Source organism: Homo sapiens, chromosome 14 (genome assembly GCF_000001405.40).
Source record: "Homo sapiens chromosome 14, GRCh38.p14 Primary Assembly".
Lineage (NCBI taxonomy): Eukaryota > Metazoa > Chordata > Mammalia > Primates > Hominidae > Homo > Homo sapiens.
Genome location: NC_000014.9, coordinates 35,624,921 through 35,650,832, shown reverse-complemented (window position 1 = coordinate 35,650,832; position 25,912 = coordinate 35,624,921). Strand labels below are relative to the sequence as shown.

Genomic DNA, 25,912 nt, shown 5'->3' with positions numbered 1-25,912 from the left:
CTCTAGATTCTATTAGTTTCCTCTGAGAATTATTCTCATCTCTTCCCTTGTCATATCTCAATCTTGAGTTCTATTCTCCAGGTCTCCCCTTAACCATATTGTTTTGAAATCTCAAGTATGTTTTATTTACTGCTTATGTTCTTATTAATTTACAGAAATCTGAAGCTATAGTTATGTTTCTGGACCTATTCCCAGTTATTTTCTTGTGTGGCATACATGAGGCTTTCATAGTTTTTTCTTTTCCTACTGTCTGCCATTATCATTTCTTACTGATTTCATGTGTTTACCTCAAAACTTTTTATTCTTTCCCTTCATATTCAGTTTAAACACCATTTGAACAGATTGTTTAGCTCTTGATAAATACTTTATCATCATCATCTTCATCTTTAAAAGAGACATATACTTCATTTTTATTTTTTTTATTTTAAATTTTTAACATTTTTTTGAGGCGGAGTCATCTCACTCTGTCACCCAAGCTGGAGTACTGTGGCACAGTCTCGGCTCACTGCAACCTCTGCCTCCCAGGTTCAAGCGGTTCTCGTGCTTCAGCCATTCAAGTAACTGGGATTACAGGTGTACACCACCATGCCTGGCTAATTTTTTATTTTTAGTAGAGATGTGTCGGGGGCGGGGGGGTCTCATCATCTTGGCCAGGCCGGTCTCAAACTCCTGGCCCCAAGTGATCCACCTGCCTCGGCCTCCCAAAGTGCTGGGATTACAGGCGTGAGCTACCTCATCCGGCCTCCATTTTTAGCCAAGAATCCTTCGCTTTAGTGTCGCAGGCTATGGTGTAGAATTCCAAATCCAGTTTATGAATAATTTCTGGATAACTACTTGTTCATCTTTTTCTATATCATCTTTGTCTTCCAGAAGTCTAGCTATTAATATGAAAAAGCTATACTTCTAAGTTTTTGTTTTCTTGCCCACTAAATTTATTAAACATTTATTTATCATAAAATATGAGTGTGGCGTTCTGCTAGGCACTAAACAGAGGTAAACATGATACTCCCTGTTCTCATGGAATTTAAAAATTAGAGACACAAATGAGGCAACACAATATAATAAATAGTATAAAAAGTAGAAAAATGTATGAGATACAAGGTAGAATAGAGAAAGAAGTAATTAACTATTGGGGAAAGGCATATTTAGGAAAAATTCTTTTAAAGTTAAATAGAGACATAAATAGAGACAAACAGTAGAATCAGAAAATTATTCCAAGTGGTATGAATAGCATGTGTAAATCTGGGGACTATAAAATAGTATGGTTTGTTTTGGAGAAACAACTAGGCAGTTCCATATTTTAGAATGTGAAGTGGACAGTTAAGAGTTGGGAAAATAAAGTTTCTAAGATAGGAAGGGGCCAGATTATAAAGGGCCTTGGATGCCACACTATGAACGTGGTACTTCTGTGAAAGTGACTTTTTTGAAAGGTTTTTATGTAGGATAAAATATGACCAGATTTGTGAAAAATCACTTGAGAAAATGTGAAAGTTGACTTAAAAGTCAAAATATGGTGATTATTATTAAAATCATCTTTATAAGAATTGATGACGTTCTGAGCTAAGGCTAAAGGAATAGAGAATAGATACTCACAAAGTAGAACCCACAGCCAAGGTGAGGAATACAGGAAAGAGCAGCTTTGTTGGAGCAGTGAGTTTCAGTTCTCAGTTTGTTGCATATAAAAAGTAATCTCCAGGTGGAGACCACCAGCAAGGCAATTATATACCTGATTAGAAAATTTGATGCTGGAAATAAAATTATTGGCATTGTCAGTACATGAGTAGTATTAACATTGTGAGAATATATGAAATCACTTAAGGCGATATAGTAGAGTAAGATGAGTTAGCAAAGTATAGCACATTAAAGAATAACAGTTAAGGAGAAGGCAGAGAAGATGATTCAGTAAAAGTGACTGAAAGGACTAGTAGGAAAGGTAGGAAGAACACCAGGTCTAGGAGAGAGTAATCACATAGAAGACAATCAAATCATCCCGAAAATGCTTTTTTGATCTCAGACTTTATTCACTGTTTTTTTTGAGACAGGGTCTCACTCTGTCACCCAGGCTGGAGTACAGTGGCGCAATCTAGACTCACTGCAACCTCCACCTCCCACACTCAAGTGATCCTCCCACCTCAGCCCCCAAAATGGGACCACAGGCGTACGCCACCATGCCCAGCTAATTATTGTATTTTTAGTAGAGATGGGGTTTTGCTATGTTGCCTAGGCTGGTCAGGAGCTGGTCACTTCAGCTCAGGAGCTTGAGCTGAAGTGAACCGCCCGCCTTGGCCTCCCTAAGTGCTGGGATTACAGATGTGAGTCACTGTGCCCAGCCTATCATTCACTCTTCTTCTTCTTTTTTTTTTTTTTGAGATGGAGTTTTGCTCTGTTGCCCAAGCTGGAATACTGTGGTGCAGTCTCGGCTCACTGCAATCTCCGCCTCCTAGGTTCAAGTGATTCTCCTGCCTCAGCCTCCTGAGTAGCTGGGATTACAGGCGTGCGCCACCATGCCCAACTAATTTTTTTTTTCTTTTTTTTGAGACAGGAGTCTCCCTCTATTGCCCAGGCTGGCATGTAGTGGCACAATCTCGGCTCATTGCAACCTCCGTCTCCTGGGTTCAAGTGATTCTTCTGCCTCAGCCTCCCAAGTAGCTGGAACTACAGACACATGCCACCACACCTTGCTAGTTTTTTTTTGGTTGGTTTTTTTTTTTGTTTTTTTCAGTAGAGATGGGATTTCACCGTATGGGCCAGGCTAGTCGTGAACTCCTGACCTGGTGATCCACCCGCCCGACCTCCCAAAGTGCTGGGTTTACAGGCGTGAGCCTTCCCACCCAGCCTCAAATATGCTTTATCTTAAACATCTTATTTATTTATTTATTTATTTAGAGACGGAGTTTCGCTGTGTCACCCAGGCTGGAGTGCAGTGGCGTGATCTCAGCTCACTGCAACCTCCGCCTCCCAGGTTCAAGCAATTCTCCTGCCTCAGCCTCCCTAGTAGCTGGGGCTACAAGCACACACCACTATGCTAATTTTTGTATTTTTAGTGGAGATGGGGTTTCACCATATTGGCCAGGCTGGTCTCAAATTCCTGACCTCAGGTGATCCACCTGCCTGGACCTCCCAAAGTGCTGGGATTACAGGCGTGAGCCACCACACCTGCCCTTAAACCTCTTTATAATTATACATTCCTCTCTGTGTGATGAACATCAGAATATTACCTAAATCCACTGGTTCTTCTCCACTATGTTGCATTCCAGTATCTTCTAATTTTTTTGAATTGGGTTTTTATTATCTTTTATTAGAAGCTGGCACACTACATATGGACAAATAGATATATTGAATCATTTTAATTATGTTATTATTTCTCTAGGAACTCTTAATCTCATGCAAGCCACCAGTATAGGGAGGCATTTCTCATGTATGATATTCAGATTGCTGCTCCTTAACCTCAAATGTTTAAGAACTTGAATAAACTGTATATGGGCCAGGAGTTTTTAGACTTCTCAAACGGCTCATTGTCATTGGTGAATATGGGCTTGGGCTAACAGGTTTTAAAAGATAAATTCAATAAAAATAAAGCAAAAAGAACATTTATATAGTGATTTTTTTTTAAAATCACGTGCCAGCAGTGTGTACTTTATATGCATTATTTCAACATCAAAACAACTTTATAATCTTGATAAATATTTTTTAATCCCTATTCTTCATAGAGAATTGAGCCTTAGAAAGGTTAAGTTGCCCAAGGTCACAAAATTGTTACTAAATATCAGAGCCAAGACTGGAATCTGTGATTGACAGATAGATGCCAAAGTCCATACTGTTTTTAGTTAGAAACATCAATTGAGAGCTTCCATTTGAGTTTTATGGTGGAATTGTTTTCTTTTAACATAATTTCAAGTTTATAGAAACATTGAAAGGGTAGTACAAAGAATTATTTATATTGGTTCACCACATTTGCTTTATCCCTTTGTATGTAGTATGAAATAGAGAGAGAAATAAATGTGTATACTGCTGACTACTTTATTGTGTTTTTCCTAAAATCAAGCAATTCTCTTATATAACCACAAAATAGTTGTCAACATGAGGAAATTAGCATTAGTATTAGTGATACATTTGTATTATCTAATCTATAGATATTTCACTAGTTGTCTCACTAACATCCTGTAGGGCAAAAGAAATTCCCAAATTATGCCTTACATGCAGTCATAATGTCTCTTTAGCCTTCTATAGTATGGAACAGGTTCTTAATCTTTCTATATTTCTTGACCTTGACATTTTAAAGAATACAGTCTAGTTACTGTATAAAATGTCCTGCGTTTTGGCTTTGTGTTTCATCATGATTAGGTTTGTTATTATTGGATTTAAATTAGGCGTATTTGGCAGGAATACCTCAGAAGATTTTGTGCACCTCTTAATACATTATATCAGGTGTCACAGATGTCAGTTTGTTTCATTACTGATTGGTGCTAACTTCAGTCAAATGATTAAGGTTGTGTCTGCCAGGTGTTCCCACTGTAAAGCTACTGTTTAATCCTTTTCAATGAATTAGTATTTGTAAGACAATACTTTGAGACTATACTATATAAATATTTGACTCCTTAAATTTCCACTAACTGGTTTTGCTAATCATTAATGACTCTTACCAGAAACAATTATTGTTACAGTAGCTGCCAAATGATGATTTCCTAATTCATCATTTTTTCTACATTCATTAGTTAGCTTTCTACGTATAAGGAAGAGCTTTCCTTTCTTTCTTATTCATCTTATTTCAATGTGGGCTCATGATTCTGATTTTATGCAATGATTTGTAATCCTTAACTATTATTTATTTTGGTGCTCAAAATGTCTCATACTTAGCCAGTGGGAGCCCCTTCAAAGTGGCTTCTTTTTCATAAATCCCCATTATTTTGGGGGCATGCTTTTAATTTCTGTCAGCACACAATTTTCCAGACTCACTTTGTGCTTTCCCTGTCCCAGCCCTGAAATTACCCATTTCTCCAAGAAACCCTGCTTCCGTTAAGTGGCAAATGGTGTTTAGAAATCAGTATCTAAGAACTAGGCATGCACATTGCTACTGGGATATCTTTTTTTTTTTTTTTTTTGGAGATGGAGTCTCGCTCTGTCGCCCAGGCTGGAGTGCCCCGGCGCGATCTCGGCTCACTGCAAGCTCCGCCTCCCGGGTTCACGCCATTCTCCTGCCCAGCCTCCCGAGTAGCTGGGACTACAGGCGCCCGCCACCACGCCTGGCTAATTTTTTTGTATTTTTAGTAGAGACGGGGTTTCACCGTGTTAGCCAGGATGGTCTCGATCTCCTGACCTCGTGATCTGCCTGTCTCAGCCTCCCAAAGTGGTGGGATTACAGGCGTGAGCCATTGCGCCCGGCCTGGGGTATCGTTTCTTAAGTCCTCTTTGGCAGATACAGCTAGGAAATACATAACATATACACACACACACACACACACACACACACACACACACACACACACCCATCTCTATATCTGCTATAGACTGAATGTTTGTGTCTCTCCCGAAGTTCATATATGGAAATCCTAATGCCCAGTGTCATGGGATTTGGAGGTGGGGCCTTTGAGAGGTAATTAGGTCGTGAGGATGAAGCCCTCATCAATGGGATTAGTGCCCTTATAAGAAGAGAGATGAACTAATATCCACCGTGTGAAGATACACTAGAAGGTGGTCATCTAACAAGCCAGAAAGAGGACCCTCACATATACTGAATTGGCTGCCACCTTGATCTTCAACTTTCTAGCTTTCAGAACTGTGAGGAATAAATTTCTCTTGTTTAAGCCACCCAGTGTAAAGTATTTGTAATGCCAGCACAGACAGAATAAGATGGTATCTAATTATAAGTATTAAAAACCTTGAGTTCACACTGACACCTCCAATTCTTATTTTATTTTATTTTACTTTAAGTTCCAGGATACATGTGCAGAATGTGCAGGTTTGTTACATGGGTAGACAAGTGCCATGGTGTTTTGCTGCACCTGTCAACCCGTCACCACATGCATTAGCTGTTTGTCCTGATGCTCTCCCTCACCTTCCCCCACCAACAGGCCCCAGTCTGACACCTCCACGTCTAATCCAACACCACGAGATTCAGTCCATCCTTCCCCGTTTTCCTTATTTGTAACTCCCTGCTCCAGCAATGAAAAATCTGGTTTCCATATTGATTATTTATCTGGATATGTTTACTTCTTTGTGCTGTTCTATTTTTTTAAATTATTAACTTATGCCTCTTTATAGTTAAGAGTGCTTGTCTTTACCAAGAGAGATTATTGTTTGAAAAATGTGTTCATAAGTTATTTGGGTTACTTCGTAGTCCCCCTTTCCCACTTCAGTATGGTTATATAATTACCTTGAAATTCAGTTCAGGTCACTTTTTTCTGTTTGTATGCAGTTTTAGGGTCTTTGTCCCATCTCTGTTGTTTTAATTTTTTTAGTCTATGGTTCATCCATCCTATGATTGTTTTTTCACAAATGAACAGATGCATGTATATCGTCTTTTATTCCTTGTTTGTTACACATAGCCTAGATAGTCTTTGCTTTGGATTTTTCACTTGACAGTGTATCTTGGAAATCCTTAATACGTAAGTTCATAGAGATCTTCCCCATCTTTTTATTTATTGAAAATTGTTCTGGGTACATAGTAGGTGTATATATTTATGGAGTGCATGGGATATTTTGACAGAGACATACAGTGCATAATATGTCAGGATAAATGGGGTATCCTTCCCCTCAAGCACTTATCCTTTCTGTGTGTTACAAAATAATCCAATTATATGTTTTTAGTTATTTTTAAATGTACAATTCAGTTATTTTTTACTATAGTCACTCTGTTTTGCTAGCAAATATTATATTTTATTCATTCTTTCTATTTTTTAGAACCCATTAACCATCCCCACTTACCCCATACTCCCCACTGCCCTTCCCAGTCTCTGGTAACCATCATTCTATTCTCTGTCTCCATGAGTTCAGTTGTTTTCATATTTATCTCCCACAGATAAGTGAGAGCATGCAATGTTTGTCTTTCTGTGCCTGGCTTATTTCACTTAACATAATGACTTCCAGTTCCATCTATCTTGTTGCAAATGACAAGATCTCATTCTTCTTTATGGCTGAATAGTACTCCCTTGCATATATGTACCACTTTTCTTTATCCATTCATCTGTTGATGGACACTTAGGTTGGTCCCAAATTTTGGCTATTGTAAATAATACTGCAGTAAACATGGGAATGTAGGTATCTCTTAGATATGCTGATTTCCTTTCATTTGGGTATATACCTAGCAGTAGGATTACTGGATCATATAGTAGTTATCTTTGTTAGTTTTTTGAGGAACCTCGAAACTGTTCTCCATAGTGGTTGTACTAACATAAATTCCCACCAACAGTGTATGAGGGTTCCCTTTTCTCCACATCCTCGCCAGCATTTATTGCCTGTCTTTTGGATAAACCCATTTTATTTTATTTATTTTATTATTATTATTATACTTTAAGTTCTAGGGTACATGTGCACAATGTGCAGGTTTGTTACATATGTATACATGTGCCATGTTAGTGTGCTGCACCCATTAACTCGTCATTTACATTAGGTATATTTCCTAATGCTATCCCTCCCGCCTCCCCCCACCCCTCGAAAGGCCCTGGTGTGTGATGTTTCCCATCCTGTGTCTAAGTGTTCTCATTGTTCAATTCCCACCTATGAATGAGAACTTGCGGTGTTTGGTTTTCTGTCCTTGCGACAGTTTGCTCAGAATGATGGTTTCCAGCTTTATCCATGTCCCTACAAAGGACATGAACTCATCCTTTTTATGGCTGCATAGTATTCCATGGTGTATATTTGCCACATTTTCTTAATCTAGTCTATCATTGATGGACACTTGAGTTGGTTCCAAGTCTTTGCTATCGTGAATAGTGCCACAGTAAACATACACGTGCATATGTCCTTATAGCAGCATGACTTATAATCCTTTGGGTATATACCCAGTAATTAGATGGCTGGGTCAAATGGTATTTCTAGTTCTAGATCCTTGAGGAATTGCCACACTGTCTTCCACAATGGTTGAACTAGTTTACACTCCAACCATGTAAAAGTGTTCCTGTTTCTCCACATCCTCTCCAGCACCTGTTGTTTCCTGACTTTTTAATGATCACCATTCTAACTGGTGTGAGATGGTATCTCATTGTGGGATAAAACCCGTTTTAACTGAGGTGAGATGATATCTCATTGTATTTAGTAGTTTTGATTTGCATTTCTCTGATGATGTTGAGCATCTTTTCATAAGTTCATATGTGTTCATATGAACTTGTTTTCATATAGTCATATGAACATATTAACTTGTTTTCCTTTTTTATGTCTTCTTTTGAGAAATGTCTGTTCAGATCTTCAGCCCATTTTAAATCAAATTGTTAGAATTTTTTCTGTAGTGTTGTTTGAGTTCCTTGTATATTCTGGTTATTAATAGCTTGTCATATTATTTTGTAAATATTTTCTCCCCTTCTGTGGGTTGTCTCTTCACTTTGTTGACCATTTACTTTGCCGTGCAGAATCTTTTTAACTTTATGTGATCCTATTTGTTCATTTTTGTTTTGGTTGCCTGTGCTTGTAGGGTATTACTCCAGAAATCTGCCCAGTCCAATGCCCTCAAGAGTTTCCTCAATGTTTTCTTGTAGTAGTTTCATAATTTGAGGTCTTAGATTTAAGTCTCTAATGCGTTTTGATTTGATTTTTATATATGGCAGGAGTTAGGGATCTAGTTTTGTTCCTCTGCATGTGGATAACCAGTTATCTCAGCACCATATATTGAAGAGACTGTCCTTTCCATAATATATATTATTTACCTTTGTTTAAAATGACTTCACTGTAGATGTACAATTTGTTTCTGGGTTCTCTATACTGTTCCATTGGTCTATGTGTCAGTTTTTATGCCAGTTCCATACTGTTTTGATAATTATGGCTCTGTAGTATTATTTGAAATCAGATAATGTGATTCTTCCAGTTTTGTTCATTTTGCTCAGGATAGCTTTGACTGTTTTGGGTCTTTTATTGTTGCATATAAATTTTAGGATTGTTTGTTCTGTTTCTATAAAGAATGTCATTGGCATTTTGATAGGGATTGCATTGAACCTATAGATTGATTTGGGTAGTATGGACATGATTATTGAAAATAATGATTCTTTCAATACATGAACATGGAATAGCTTTCCATTGTTTCGTGTCTTTTTCAATTTCTTTCATCAGTGTTTTACAGTTTTTATTGTAGAAATCTTTCACTTCTTAGATTAATTCCGAACTATTTAATTTCATTTGTAGCTATTGGAAATGGCATTACTTTCTTGATTTCTTTTTCAGATTGTTCACTGTTGGCACATAGAAATGCTACTAATTTTTGTATGTTGATTTTGTATCCTGCAGCTTTACTGAATTTGACGTTGTTTATCAGTTCTAATAGTTATTTGATAGAGTCTTTAGGTCTTTCCAAATATAAGATCATATCGTCAGCAAACAAGGATAATTTGATGTCTTCCTTTCCAATTTGCATACCCTTTATTTCTCTCTCTTGTCTGCTTGCTCTAGCTAGGACCTCCAGTACTGTGTCAAATGATAGTGGTGGAAGTGGACACCTTTGTCTTGTTCTAGATCTTAGAGAAAAGGATTTCAGTTTCTCTGCATTCAGAATGATACTACCTGTGGGTCTGTCCTAATATGGCTTTTATTATGTTGAGGTGTGTTCCTTCCCAGTTTTTTTGTGGGGGGAGGGGAGGAGGTGTTCATCATGAAGGGATGTTGAATTTCATCAGATGCTTTTTCAGCAGCAACTGAAATTATCACAAAGGTTTTTGTCCTTTATTTTGTTGACAAAAATGTATCACATTGATTGATTTGTGTATGTTGAATCATCCTTGAATCCCTGGGATAAATCTCCCTTGGTCATGGTGAGTGATATTTCTAATGCATTGTTGAATTTGGTTTGCTAGTATTTTGTCGAGGATTTTTGCATCAATGTTCATCAGGAATATTGGCCTGTAGTTTTCTTTTTGTTGATGTCTTTTATTTTGATATTAGGGTAATATTGGCCTCATAGAATGAGTTTGGAAATACTTCCTCCTCTGTTTTTCAGAATAGTTTCAGAAGGATTGGTATTAGTTCTTTAAATGTTTGGTAGAATTTAGCAATGAAGCCATTGGGTCCTGGGCCTTTCTTTGGTGACAGACTTTTTATTACAGCTTTATTCTTGTTATATGTTACTGGTCTGTTCAGGTTTTGCATTTCTTCATGATTAAATCTTAATAGATTTTATGTGTCTAGGAGTTTATCCGTTTCTTCTAGGTTTTCCAGTTTATTGGCATATAGTTGTTCATAGTAGCCGCTCTGTTGATCTTTTAATTTCTGCTGTATCGGTTTTTAATGTCTCCTCTTTCATTTCTGATTTTATTTGAGTCTTGTTTCTTTTTTTCTTAGTGGCCAAAGGTTTGTCAATTTTATCTTTTTTAAAAAATCAATTTTTTGTTTCATGTGCCAATTTTTCATTTCATTGATCTTTTGTATTTTTGCCATTTCAGTTTTATTCATTTCTGCTCTGATCTTTATTATTTTTATTCTGCTTACTTTGGGTTTGGTTTGCTCTTGCTTTTCTGGTTCTTTAAGATGCATTGTTAGGTTGTTTACTTGACGTTTTTCTGCTTTTTTGATGTAGGTGCTTATAGCTATAAACTTCCCTCTTAGTACTGCTTTCACTGTATCCTATAGGTTTGGGTATGTTGTGTTTCCATTATCATTTGTTTCCAGAAACTTTCAGTTTTTTTCTTAATCTCTTCATTGACCCACAGATCATTCAGGAAGATATTGTTTAATTTCTTTTTTTTTTTTTTCTTTTGAGACAGAGTCTCAGCCTCTCGCCCAGGCTGAACTGCAGTGGTGCAATCTTGACTCACTGCAAGCTCTGCCTCCCAGGTTCACACCATTCTCCTGCCTCAGCCTCCCGAGTAGCTGGGACTACAGGTGCCCGCCACCACGCCCGACTAATTTTTTGTATTTTTAGTAGAGACGGGGTTTCACCGTCTTAGCCAGGATGGTCTCAATCTCCTGACCTCATGATCCGCCCACCTCGGCCTCCGAAAGTGCTGGGATTACAGGCACGAGCCACCGCACCTGGCCAATATTGTTTAATTCCTAAGTGTTTGTATAGTTTCCAAAATTCCTCTTATTTTTTATTTCTAGTTTTATTCCATTGGGGTCAGAGAAGATACTTAATATTATTTCAATTTTTAAAAATATGTTAAGACTTATTTTTTGGCCTAACATATGGTCTGTCCTTTAGAATGTTACAGATGCTGAGGAGAAAAATGTGCATTCCACAGCCATTGGATGAAATGTTCTGTAAATATCCATTTGGTCCATACTGCACATTAAGTCCAATGTCTCTGTTGATTTTCTGTCTGGATGAAATGTCCAATGCTGAAAGTGTGGTGTTTAAGTCTTCAGCTATTATTGTATTGGCATATATCTCTCTCTTTAGCTCTAATAATATTTGCTTTATATATCAGGGTGCTCCAGTGTTGAGTGCATATATATTTATAATTGTTTTATCCTCTTGCTGAATTAATCCCTTTATCATCACATAATGACCTTTTTTGTCTTGAAATCTATTTTGTCTGATGCAAGTGTAACTACTTCTGCTTTTTTTGGTTTCCATTTGCATAGAACATCTTCATCCCTTTATTTTCACTATATGTGTGTCTTTATAGGCAAAGTGTGTTTCTTGTAGGCAACAGATCGTTGGGTTTTATTTTTTTAATCTGTTCAGCCACTCTCTCTTTTGATTGAGTTTAGTCTATTTACATTCAGTGGTTTTTATTTTTTATTCTTTTTTTTTCTTTCTTTCTTTTTGAGACAGAGTCTTGCTCTGTCACCCAGGCTGGAGTGCAGCGGCGCAATCTCAGCTCACTGCAACCTCTACCTCCTGGGTTCAAACGATTCACCTGCCTCAGCCTTCCAACTAGCTGGGACTACAAGCACACACCACCACACCCAGCTAATTTTTTGGTTTTTTAGTAGAGATAGGATTTCACCATGCAGGCCAGGCTGGTCTCAAACTCGTGACCTCAGGTGATCTGCTTACCTCAGCCTCCCAGAGTGTTGGGATTACAGGTGTGAGCCGCCGTGCCCAGCCTCAGTGGTATTATTGATAAGTAGGTACTTACTCCTTCCACTTTATTATTTATTTTCTTGTTGTTTTTCAGGCTTCTCATCCTTCTTTCCTTCCTTCCTGTTTTCCTTTTAGTGAAGGTGATTTTCTCTGGTATTATGGTTTTGTTTCTTGCTTTTTATTTTTTTTATATCCATTGTATGTGTTTATATTGGAGGTTACCATAAGGCTTGCAAGTAATATCTTATAACCCATTATTTTAAACTAATGCCAACTTGACACTGACTGCATAAACAACAAGCAAAAAGAAAATTAATAACAACTCTACATATTAACTTAATCCCCCTGCTTTTTAACTTTTTATTCTTTCTATTTATATCTTATTGTACTGTCCATGTCTTGAAAAGTTGTTGTTATTATTTTTTATTGGTTCATCTTTTCATCTTTCTACTTCAATATGAGTAGTTTACACACCACAATTACAGCGTTATAGTATTCTGTGGTTTTCTGTTTACTTACTATCACCAGTGAGTTTTGGACCTTCAGATAATTTCTTACTGCTCATTAACATTCTTTTCTTTCAGACTGAAGAAATCCCTTTAGCATTTCTTGTGGGACAGATTTGGTGTTGATGAAATCCCTCAGCTTTTGTTTGTCTGGGAAAGTCTGTATTTCTTCTCCATGTTCGAAGGATATTTTCACTGGATATATTATTTTAGAATAAGTTTTTTTTCCTTTAGCACTTTAAATATGTCATGCCATTCTCTCCTGGCCTGTAAGATTTCTACTGAGAAGTCTGCTTCCAAATGTATTGGAGCTCCATTGTATGTTATTTGTTTCTTTTATCTTGCTGCTTTTATAATCCTTTTATCCTTGACCTTTGAGAGTTTGATTATTAAATGTCTTAAGGTAGTCATATTTGGATAAAATCTGCTTAGTGTTCTATAACCTACTTGTACTTGAGTGTTCATATCTTTCTCTGGGTTTGGGAAGTTCTATGTTTTTATCCTTCTTAATAAACTTTATATCCCAATCTATCTCCTCTTTAAAGCCAATAACTCTAGATTTACCCTTTTGATGCTCTTTTCTAGTTCTTATAGGTGTGTTTTATTCTTTTTTCTTCTTTTTTCTTTTGTCGCCTCTGACTGTGTATTTTCAAATAGCTTGTCTTCAGCCTCACCAATTCTTTTTTCTGCATTATCCGTTCTGCCATTAAAAGAACTCTGATGCATTCTTCAGTACACTAGTTGCATTTTTCAGCTCCAGAATTTCTACTTGGTTCTTTTTAGTTATTTCAATCTCTTTGTTAAATTTATCTCATAGGATTCTGAATTTCTTCTCTGTGTTATCTTGAATTTCATTGAGCTTCTTCAAAACAGCTGTTTTGAATTCTCTGTCAGGTGACATCTCTGTCTCTCTGGGATTGGTCATTGGTGCCTTATTTAATTCATTTGGTGAGGTCATGTTTTCCTGGATGGTCTTGATGTTTGTTGATGTTCATTGGTGTGTGGGCATTGAAGAGTTAGGTATTTATCATAGTCTTCGCAGTCTGGGTTTGTTTGTCTTCTCCCCCTAAGCATTACCTTTCCTATGTGTACTTCTACATCCTTTCTTTTTACTCACTACTCTGATCTACCAGTATACTTTTTTAATATTCTCACACTTAAGGTGGACTTTTTCTTTCTGGCATGGTTTTAGATCAGTCTTAGATTCACAGCAAGTTCCCATCTTCTCTCTTTCACAGTTTTTCCCAAACTACCCTTGCTTTTCATGAAAACCTGCAGTGGGAGAATGGGAGAAAGATGCTGGGATTTGCTGCATATTTTTCTACTTACAGATAATTCGAGGCTCGGTGCAGTGGCTCATGCCTGTAATCTGAGCACTTTGAGAGGCCAAGGCAGACAGATCACTTGAGGCTAGGAGTTCAAGACCAGCCTGGCCAACGTGGCAAAACCTCGTCTCTCCTAAAAATACAAAACTTAGCCGGGCACAGTGGCACATGCCTGTAATCCCAGTTACTTAGGTGGCTGAGGTGCAAGAATCACTTGAACCCAGGAAGTGAAGGTTGCAATGAGCTGAGATCATGCCACTGCACTCCAGCCTGGGTGACAGAGCAAGACTGTCTCAAAAATAAAAATTAAAAAAATAGATAATTTGAAGTTTGGATGTTCTTTGTCTTCTGATAATATGGAAGCTGTTGTTTTGTGAGGTTTTATTGGGCCTTCTTATTGTTCCTTATTTTATTTATTTTTTGGAAGATATGTTGGGAGATGTAGACCAGAATTACTTGAGTTGGAGAGTTCGTTTTTAAAGATTAGCAAGTCTCTTGTTGCTATTTCATTGTCAGTTTCATGGCACTATTTGTGATTCTTTAATACAATGAATTCTGCTATTGTATTCTACATTTTGTATAAAAAGTGACCTGTTTATAGCATTCATTAGTTTAAAAGTGTCCATCCAGGCATGATGGTGTGCACCTTGTAGTCCCAGCTATTTGGAAGTCTGAGGCTGGAATATTGCCTGAGCCCAAGAGTTCAAGGCCAGCCTGGGCAATATAGCAAGACTCCCTCTCTTTGAAAAAAAACAAAAACAAAAAAGCGTGTTCAGTGGATTCATTTAGTAAAATGAGTAACAATTTCAAAAAGTACTTAAGGTAGTCTTACTGGCAGGCTATTCAGTGAGATGTTGTTAAGTTAGAAAAGGAAAGTGGAAGTGATTATAATATATATGGACTTCCATTTGTGTTCCATTCCTTGTGCAATGGAATAAGTATAGTTAATTGATATGTGTTGTCTTTTAAGCTTGCTGTTTTTATATTAATTTTAACATTTCTGTTTTTATTATGCTTACTGTTTCATTATGCTTGCCCTGACATATGAAAGAGAAACCCACAATAATGTTCATATACAATATCTTAAAATCAGTTAGATCTGGGTAAATATTAATAGTGGAACTTAGGGTTGATGATTCCAGAAACAAATTTTGGAAACTCAAGAATAAGAAAATGAATTTTTAAGAAGCATATATTTTATGAATGTACAATTATAATGATTCTATTGTTGTTACAGTTGGTAGTATCTTTACTTCTCTGCCTTCTGGACTGGATCATGGCCTTACCTCTAAAGACACTGCTCCAACCATTTCATGCTACGGGAGCAGAAAGCGATAAAACAGAAAAATCTGTTCTCAATTGCATTTATAAGGTAAACTTCCTTGCTTTATTATTTATTTGGTAACCAAGAGTTTTTAAAACCTAGAGAAATAACATTTCTCAGTATAACATTTTTATTCTTTTAGAGCTAGAAAATTTCTAAGAACACATATTTAGCTTACAGTGCCTAAGGGTAATTTAAAAGTGCTTCCTACAAGACACCGTTGTTTCATTGCAAAATTTTGAGAGGAATTAGATCATTGTTACATATGAGTATAATTTAATTTTAGTCATTCTTTGTAAGAGGTATTGAATTTTACCTTGATTTTTTTTTTTCTTTTATTGAAACGGAGTTTCACTCTTGTTACCCAGGCTGGAGTGCAATGGCTCAATCTCGGCTCACTGCAACCTCCGTCTCCTGGATTCAAGCAATTCTCTTGCCTCAGTCTCCTGAGTAGCTGGGATAACAGGCGCCCACCACCACACCTGGCTAATTTTTGTATTTTTAGTAGACACAGCGTTTCGCCATGTTGCCAGGCTGGTCTGGAACTCCTGATCTCAAGTGATCCACCTGGCTGGGCCTCCCTGTAATCCCTGCTGGGATTACAGGCATGAGCCACTGTGCCAGGCCTGATGTTTTAAAATATTTAAAATCTTTGCCAGGCTCTTGTGTTACCAGTTGATTTTTATCCTCCTTTAACTTTTATTTATTTATTTATTTTTTAAGTAAAACTGGGTGTTTCCCCCTGTATTTTCAGGTTTTACATGGGTGTGTTTATGGAGCTCAGTGTTTTAGCAATCCAAGGTATTTTCCCATGAGCCTCTCTGATTTGGCATCTGTAGATTATGATCCTTTTATGCATTTGGAAAGTCTGAAAGAGCCTGAGCCTCTGCACTCTCCTGACTCAGAACGATCTTCTAAACTCCAGCCAGTAACAGAAGGTAACATGAATTCTGTTCAGGACAATATTGTTGCTTGGGTTCTCTCAAGGTATAACTTGAGGCCATGGGTGGAAATATTGGAGAAGGAGAGTATGTCTTACTTTGTAGTTGTTTAACCATGTATGTATAGCACAAGTTCATTATTAATTAAAGAAATAACTTCACATGCACAATTACTAATATTATATGTTGACATTGCTTTTATGCAAATTCAGTATTCCTTATCTGAAATGCATGGGACCAGAAGTGTTAAAGATTTTGGATTTTTTCACCTTTTGGAATATTTGCATTATACTTACCAGTTGAGCATCCCTAATCTGAAAATCCAAAATCTGAAATGCTCCAATGAGCATTTCCTTTGAGCATCATGCCAACACTCAAAATTTTTGGATTTCAGATTTTCAGATTAGGGATACTCAACATGTACTTCTGGCTAAATTATTCTTAGAAGTTCTTTTTGATATTTTATATATAATGGAATTTATATAGAATAAAAAATATAGCTTTGGAGTCTGACCTGAATTTTGACTCTCAATTGCTAAATATCTGTTTTCTTATTTGTAAAATGCAAATATTAGTTTCCTCTAAGGTTTTTTTAAGTACTAAGTAAGATAATATATGTAAAGCCCTTTGTACAATCCTTACTTAGTACATAGTTAACTCAGTAACATTTTTAAGCCACGTTTCTGCATTCAGAGCATTCTCTCTCTGATAGAAGAGAAAGATGTAATAGAAGCAAATAACCTTATAATGTAATAGGAGTGTAACAATAGAAGTATATATAAGATATAGAGGTAAAGTAGAGGAACCCAGCAATTGCTGAAGGTTTTAAGAAAGGGAGATAGAGGATACAATTTATATTAAGAGCACTTTTGATAATAGTATTTTATAGGAGTTGGTAAATTATGGCCCATTGCTACCGCCTGTTTTTATAATTTTATTGTGATACATCCATATTGTCATTATGGTTACTTTTGTATAACAACAGCAGTATTGAGTAACAGTAGAGATTGCGTGGCTCACAAAACCAAAAGTATTTATTATTTGGCCCTTCATAGAAAAAGTGTACTGACTCCTGGTATATTAGATTGATTTGGCCAGTTAACCCAGAAGGTACAGATAGGTTGTCTAGAACATAAATACACTATTGAAATAGGAATTTAAGATTTAAATTGTTTCTCAAATATAAAAGAGGTATAACAAGCAGTATAAAGCAAAAAACAATTAGACAAAATTTATATAAGCAATTTAAAATTATATTTTTAGATTTGACGTAATAAGATACCATGTTTATTTTACTTAAAAATATGGTTATGTGAAAATAATAGTTGACCTTTGCACATTTAAGGTATAAAATGGCAGTTTTTATTCAAGACAATATAGTATGTTTCTTGAACAAAGCAATAGAGTTTGCTTATTTCAAAGGAAGTTTTAATTTTAGATTTTGTACAAAATTTACTGTGCCAATATCAGTCACTGTAAAAGAAGCAAAGGAAAAGATGTAAATAGATTAGCTTAATATTGATATCAAATACTCTGTGCAGTACCCTTCTCTAAACGTATCAAGTTGTTCCCTTTGGACTTCCTCAAAGGTTTTAAGGACCAGATAAATGCAGAACCTTTTAGGAACAGCTGTGAGCTAACAGCACATGATTCTCTGGTCTGTAGTGACTACATGCTCTGGGTGTTTTTTAATGTGGTGAAAATGAGTGATCATTGTGCCCTTGTCTAAGGCATGTTTCATCATCTTCAAGTACTTTTTTGGCCAAAGAATTCTAAACATTGAGTGTCCCTAATAAGCTCAGTACTGGATTGAACAAGTCTGATTTGAGAACTATTGTCAGGAGTGGCTGTAATTATTAAATTTACTAAAGAATAAAGCAAGGTAGTGAAGTTGGCTTTTTGTCAAATGGCAGTAGTCTTATTAGCAAAAAGTCATCATTTGCCGGGTCAGAGTGAAAGGAGGCTCCAAAGGATTCATTCTGTCCTAATTATAGTTTCACCTATACTTATTATGCAAAGCTAATATTTAAAGCATTTGCCAAAATTAACTTCCTCTGCATGTTCTATTACAGTGCAGTGAATTGCAGCAGCTTTTTATGTCTTGCTGCTTTTGTACGCCATAATAATCTGTAATTATGGGTTTGCTGCAAATGCTGTAGGATTTGTTTAATCTGACAATCTGAAGAGACAACCCTGAATAGAGTTATTTAAATGAATGCTAGTTACACAAAGCCTTAGAAGCATCGATATCTCCATTTTACATTTTCTCACAAGACTGGTTATTTTAGAATTTTATTTTAAATATCTAAACTAGAGAATTTCATGTCTTCTTTGTATTTTAGTAGATAAGTAGAAGAGAGATATGTATGTTCTATAGTTTATAGCTCAAAAATAAGTATAAATAAATTTATTGCCCAATAAACAATTTGAGAGATTTTTATCCTTTTATATACAGACATATATCCTGAATTTAGAGAAGCAACTTAGGGCAGAAAATGCTTTACCTACATCTGAGATTTAAATTTATTCTTTACGTGTTTTCAATGTGAGTAATTATGACAGACTTGTGAACAAGCTCATTTAAACTGCATTCTCATTGTCTCTACCTTTGGGAAGAAGACATATGGGATACTCTGGTACCTGAGCTTCGAGGTTTATGTTTTAGGGAAAGACCTGGCTCATTCTTGGAGTTTATTTATAAGTAGGTTTGAAAAAGAAACTCATAAGACCTATGTTACTTATAATGCTCTTTAAATTGAATGATTTTTTATTGTTTCTGTTATATCCAGTTTTGTATGTAAAAGTTTTTAACTCATCTTTACAAATAAGTATGCAATTCTTACAGAAAAATGGAGTTTAAGGAATCTTATGTATTTGTGATCATGAATCACAGAGCAAGCCAAAGCCAGGGATTCTTCTCTTTTCTATGGTGGTTTCTTTTCAATTATACTCTTTCCCTTCTTCAGAGTGTAAACTTCTATGTTATGCAAAGAGGATTTAATGCTTAGAATGAGTCATCTATTTAAGTATGTCACTCAAAAGGGAGAGTGAAGAATAGAAAAATCTTTTTCTATATCAAAAATTTTAAAATGACTAATTTTAATTTTTGTTACCATTTAAAATTCGGTTTAGTCTTGATTTTTTTCCATTGATCTTTGCTTTTTATTTAGTAATTTATCCTAAGTAATACTTTTTTGAAGTTCTTATACAGAGAGAAAAATAAATTTTGAATTCATTGTTTCCATATCTCATAAAGAAAAAGACAGTTTAACAAAAGAGAAAAAAGTATGGAAATTAGAGCTGTGGTAAAGAGGGAAATAACACTGAGCTGGGAAGCAAAAGACATCTCCTATGGCAGGCAAATCACTTAACTTTGCGAACCCATTTGTCCTCATGTGCAAAATGAGGAATACCAGCTAGATTATCCCCTTATAGTGTGAACATTTATTATATTCTAGGTTATAATTAGGGAAGGGAAAGCAAACACTAGATTCAAGCTACCTATTTCTTGTCATATAGCTCAAAATACTTTTTACTTTCCTTACATTCTTAAAAATGAAGGATTGAATTAAAGTTAATCATTTAGTGTTATTAATCTAGTATTGAATGGCTGGTTATTAGTAATAATCATAAAAATAACTTTTAAAAATTTCAATATAATTGGAACTTTTATTTATTTATTTTCTTTTTTATTTTTTTAAGACAGAGCCTCACTCTTGTTACCCAGGCTGAAGTGCAGTGGCGCGATCTCAGTTCACTGCAACCTCCGCCTGCCAGGTTCAAGTGATTCTCCTGCCTCAGCCTCCTGAGGCACACCCAGCTAATTTTTGTATTTTTTGGTAGAGACACGGTTTCGCCATGTTGGCCAGGCTGGTCTCGAACTACTGACCTCAGGTGATTGGCCCGCCTCAGCTTCCCAAAGTGCTGGGATTACAAGTGTGAGCCACCACACCCAGCCATTAATTGGAACTTTTAGACTAAGAAATGTTGGGTGGGTGCAGTCACTCACACTTGTAATCCCAGCACTTTGGGAGGCCCTGGCTGGTGGATCACTTGGGGTCAAGAGTTCAAGACCAGCCTGACCAACATGGTGAAGCCTCTTCTCTAATGTAAAAATTAGCCAGGCGTGGTGGCACATGCTTGTAATACCAGCTATTTGGGAAGCTGAGGCAGGAGAATTGCTTGAACTCGGGAGGCAGAGGCTGCAGTGAGCCAAGATCGTGCCACTGCACTCCAGCCTGGGTGACACAGCAAGACTCTGTCCCAAAAAAAAAAAACCAGTAAATAAGCTAAGAAATGTTTATATTTACATTTATGTAGACATAACTTGGCTGATAATGGGAAATTAAAATTTTGATACTCAGCAACATTTTAAAATCAACCAAAGCCCAAAGGAAACTATTCTTTTTTGGAATTGGAGAAGATGGTATTAACATCAATGGCATAGCAGCTGGTTGGTTGGTTTGCCTATACCCAGTGGTATTGGTTCTGAATCTTGAAGGCTAAAGCCTTGAAAATGTAACACTATTCTTTTCTCTTGCCTCTTTTAAAGTGATTATACCATCAGTGCACAAACTGGTCTCCCTTTTTTTTTAAAGTTAGGTTTATTGAGGTATAGTTTACATAAAATAAAATATTCTTTTTTGATGAGGGAATTTTTTATATTGATTATGTTGGTGGTTACACAATTATATATAATTACCAAAAGTCATCAAACTAAACACATAAAATTGGGCATGTATGTAAATCAGAACATTCTTAAATCTGTATTTGGCTCAGCACAGTGGCTCACGCCTGTAATCCCAACCCTTTGGGAGGCCTAGGTGGGTGGATCACAAGGTCAAGAGTTCAAGACCAGCCTGGCCAATATGGTGAAACGCAGTCTCTACTAAAAATACAATAGCTGGGCGTGGCGGTGCGCGCCTGTAGTCCCCAGCTGTTTGGGAGGCTGAGGCAGGAGAATCGCTTGAACACGGGAGGTGGAGGTTGCAGTGAGCCAAGATTGCGCCACTGCACTCCAGCCTGGGAGACAGAGCGAGACTCCATCTCAAAAATAAAAAAATAAATAAATAAATAAATTTGTATTTATTCTGACAAATCCTTAGTTGTTCTGACAGGCCCTGGTGTTCCCAACTAATTAACTGTCAGAGAATATAAATACTCAAGACAAGATCACTCTGTTACTGTGGTAGAATAATACAGAAACACAATCACTCTGTAATTATGTCTAAAATTAAGTAGAGACAAGAATGTTTTAAACACACACACACACACACACACACACACACCCCCTAAACATCCTAACATGAATGACTAATGCTTCTTTACCAAAAACAACTCTCCTCCTACCTCTTAGATGAAACGCATTAAGATAACAGTCAGCTAGTTGTCCCTACTTCCTGACACCACTCAATCCCAAACTGGCTTCCACATCAACACCCCTCAGAATCACAGTCTTTAGCCCTCCTTAGAATGGCGGTCTTTAACTAGTTGGCTTTGACAAATTATTGTCTGTCTCCTTTCTCCTTTACCTCGTTACTGTCTCTGTGTTCCCTTCTTCCTTCTCCCCCTCCCCTCCCTTTTCCTCCTCCTTCAGATTCTGACATTGGGCATCTTGCCTTTCCAGGCCTCTTAAACTACTATATTCTTTGAGTTTTCTCTTTTGACTGTTTCCTATGATTTTTTTAGTTACTCGTATGAATATGCTTCTTACCTGTTTTCCTCTGTATTGTACTTGAGGGAAAAAAATATTTCTTGCATACAACTGACTGCTAGACTGTACCACATTGACCTGAAGAATACCTTAGAAAAATATAAGTAGATCCAGCAAATATTTTTGCTTTTAAAATAAAATCTCTTTTGCATACAGGTACTAGCTATACTGACTTGCTGTTTAAATTTATTCTGATTCCCGGAGTTTACTTGGAATGTCACCTTTTCTGAAACATTTTTACATTATCTGTAAAAGCCAGATTTAAATGACATTTAAGGCATCTACAAACTGTCTCTGAATCTGGAATCTATTAATGGAGATAAGAAACTTATCAGTTGAACAGATTTCATTATGTTTTTGTTTTTGTTTTTTGTTTTATTTTGTTTTGTTGTTGTGGGAGACATGGTCTTGCTCTGACACCTGGGCTGGAGTACAGTGGCCACCACACTGGGCTAATTTTAGTATTACTATTATTATTTTTATTTATAGAGACATAGTCTCCCTATGTTGCCCAGACTGGTCTCAAGCAATCCTCCCGCCTCAGCCTCCCAAAGTGCTGAGATTTCAGATGTGTTACAGCACCTGGCCGTCTTTGGCTTTTTAATGTGCATTAGTGATTTCATGATTGATTTATAATACTTCTGATTCTTCAAAGTGATCTATATATAAAGGCCTTGGTTTAAATTATGGACCCATTAGCAAAAATTTCAGAAAGGTCTTCCTTATAAACAAAACTTCATCAAAGAATGGTTTTCCTCCTTTTTTGCCATCATTACTGTATTATGGAATCTAAACTGGAAATATTAACAATGTGATAAAATCCCTATTTGTTGTCTAATATTTCATTGTCATATGATTCCCTAGGAAGCAGCAATATTCCCATTCATTTATATTTTTTATTTCCAGTGAAAACTCAAATGCAGCATGGATTAATCTCTATAGCAGCCCGCACTGTTATTACACATCTGGTAAATCACCTGGGCCATTATCCAATGAGCGGTGGTCCTGCTATGCTAACAAGTCAGGTGTGTGAAAATCACGACAATCATTACAGTGAAAGTACTGAACTTTCTCCTGAACTCTTTGAGAGTCCAAATATCCAGTTCTTTGTGTTAAATAATACAACCTTAGTGTCCTGTATCCAGATCAGATCAGAAGAGAATATGCCTGGAGGAGGTTTATCTGCTGGCCTTGCATCAGCCAATTCAAATGTCAGAATCATAGTACGTGATCTCTCTGGAAAATATTCATGGGATTCTGCTATACTGTATGGCCCACCTCCTGTAAGTGGCTTGTCAGAACCTACATCTTTCATGCTTTCATTGTCTCACCAAGAGAAGCCAGAAGAGCCTCCGACATCTAATGAATGCTTAGAAGATATAACCGTAAAAGATGGACTTTCTCTCCAGTTTAAAAGATTTAGAGAAACTGTACCAACTTGGGATACAATAAGAGATGAAGAAGATGTTCTTGATGAGCTCTTGCAGTATTTGGGTGTTACTAGTCCTGAATGCTTACAGAGAACTGGAATCTCACTTAATATTCCTGCTCCACAACCTGTGTGCATTTCTGAAAAACAAGAAAATGATGTTATTAATGCTATCCTTAAGCAACATACAGAAGAAAAAGAATTTGTTGAGAAGCACTTTAATGACTTAAACATGAAAGCTGTGGAACAAGATGAACCAATACCTCAAAAACCTCAGTCAGCATTTTATTATTGCAGATTGCTTCTTAGTATATTGGGAATGAATTCCTGGGACAAACGGTAAGCATAAGGGAGAAATTTTTTCTTTTTTTTTTTTTTTCGGTCTTATTCATCTTCTGATAAAGCATTTTATTTTCTGTTCTTTTCCTCACTAAATTTTATCTACCAATTAGTTCTTTGACTCATTTTTTTGCAGATTTTTTTTTGAGACCACTGAGTTATATTGGGATTCAGGGGAATAAAATAATCCAGCAAATTATCAATATTTTCAAAATAACTACTGGAACTATTTGACTTAGAAATTATAGCTCATTTTTCAACCTTCATGTAAGCCTAATAATTTTTTTTTTAGAAACTGCAATATGATTATTTCCGGTTTGAATCAGGGAAATTAACTCAGGATTCAAGGTCAAATCAAAAAAAGAATCTGAAGTTTTAAAAATTATTTTGTTTTCTGATGCATGTTACAAAACCTTATTAAAAACTTACAATAAACTCATGAGGTATTCAAGTAAGTTAGGTAGGAGCTAAATGAAAAGAACAATGGGCTTAAATCAGAAGACCTAGCTTAAAGTTACTTAACTTTTGAGCCTCAGGCTACAGTCTACAAATTGAGAGTAGTACCCACCTCACATACTGGGAAGAATTAAATCAGATAATGTATATAAAACACTGGCATTGTACACTAATGTAAAGCATTATTAATATACATTTAGGTTTTAATTCCTATGTCATGAAACCCTGTAGGTAGTGGAAGGAGGGGTAATGTATTGTCTCTGTCAATTTATGGTAGGAGGGGAAGCTCAGATATCAGTGAACGAACAAATCTTAAAGTAATTCAAATGTATGTCAAGCATTGAAATAGAGATCTGCTTGTTTGCTTAGTGTTTATACTCTTACTTGATTTAAAACTCTTCCGCTTATTAGAAGGGAATATCCTCTGCCTTATAGGAAAGCCTCTTATTAGAAGGGAATAAGGAATATAGGAAAGCCGTTTATTAGAAGAGAATATCCTCTGCCTTATAGGAAATGTTATATCTCAGGAACAGTTTGCCATATGGTATGACCAAATATAGGTAATTGCCACTCAGTTATGTCAGTTATGGTATAAATGCATTCTACTCTCTTTTGCTGTAGAATGGTCCGTATGTTGTCCCTTGGGAAAAATTAAAGATGAGAAGCTGTATTTTACTTCAGCAAGCATTGATTTTATGAAAATAATTTGTACATATTTAGCACCCATGGAAGGGATTTGGTAAAATTATTCACTGCTTTGTAGTCTAAAAATTATAAAACAAGGAAGAAAGAAAATTCCATCTGGATTACACTTGCTTACTTGATAATGATATAGATTCTGTGAATATTTTATTTCTCATGAGATACAACTTTCTCACATATTTTTATGAGACTCTTGAAAAGAAATACAAAGTACTTTTATCCATTTTCCTGGATATGAGTTTAGGAGGCTCACAACATCTGCAAGGAAAGATTCAAGTGGCCAATTGATATGATCCACTAGCAGAAATGTATGAACACCTGGTGGAAATAATGACGTATATTCTTTACATTTTTTTTAGGGTCTGTTCTCCTTTGTGTTAGAAGTATGAAAAGGCAAGAAAAGTAGAAAAGTTGCATGAGTAGAGTGGAAAGTATTTCCGGGACTGTCTTGTCATTCACTGCAAAGGTGATGAAAATGTTTATAAATCTCTCTATTTAGGAGGAGCTTTCATCTCCTGAAGAAAAATGAAAAGCTACTTAGAGAACTTAGGAACTTGGATTCAAGGCAGTGGTAAGTTGTTGGAAAATCTTCACATAACTAGCAACTCTCAGGTATTTCTCTTTTAGAATAATACTGTGAATAATATTTTAAATAGTATATAATACTGTGTTATTGATTTATAACTTTCTGAGCAAAAGTTTTTTAAGGAAAATTTAGGACTGCATAGAATGTTGGGTGTCTTTGAATTGTTTATGCCTTTTTTTTTTTTTTTTTTTTTTTGAGACAGAGTCTCCCACTGTCACCCAGGCTTGAGTGCAGTGGCATGATCTCCGCTCAGCCTCCGGAGTAGCTGGGACTACAGGCACCCACCACCACACCCGGCTAACTTTTTTTTGTATTTTTTAGTAGAGATGGGGTTTCACTGAGTGAACCAGAATGGTTTCGATCTCCTGACCTTGTGATCTGCCCGCCTCGGCCTCCCAAAGTGCTGGGATTACAGGCGTGAGCCA

At 36.3% G+C, this 25,912-nt stretch overlaps 1 protein-coding gene across 22 annotated transcripts in view; it reads left to right on the top strand.

Moving 5' to 3' along the window:
• The window catches only part of RALGAPA1 (Ral GTPase activating protein catalytic subunit alpha 1), a 270,940-nt gene that overhangs the window by 158,463 nt on the left and 86,565 nt on the right, over nt 1–25,912 (top strand). For all 22 annotated transcript variants that reach the window (NM_194301.4, NM_001346246.2, NM_014990.3 and 19 more), the window contains 4 exons: nt 15,235–15,369; nt 16,076–16,259; nt 22,882–23,743; nt 25,401–25,472. In NM_194301.4, coding sequence (NP_919277.2) covers nt 15,235–15,369; nt 16,076–16,259; nt 22,882–23,743; nt 25,401–25,472 — 1,253 coding nt within the window. The remainder of the gene's footprint in view (nt 1–15,234; nt 15,370–16,075; nt 16,260–22,881; nt 23,744–25,400; nt 25,473–25,912) is intronic.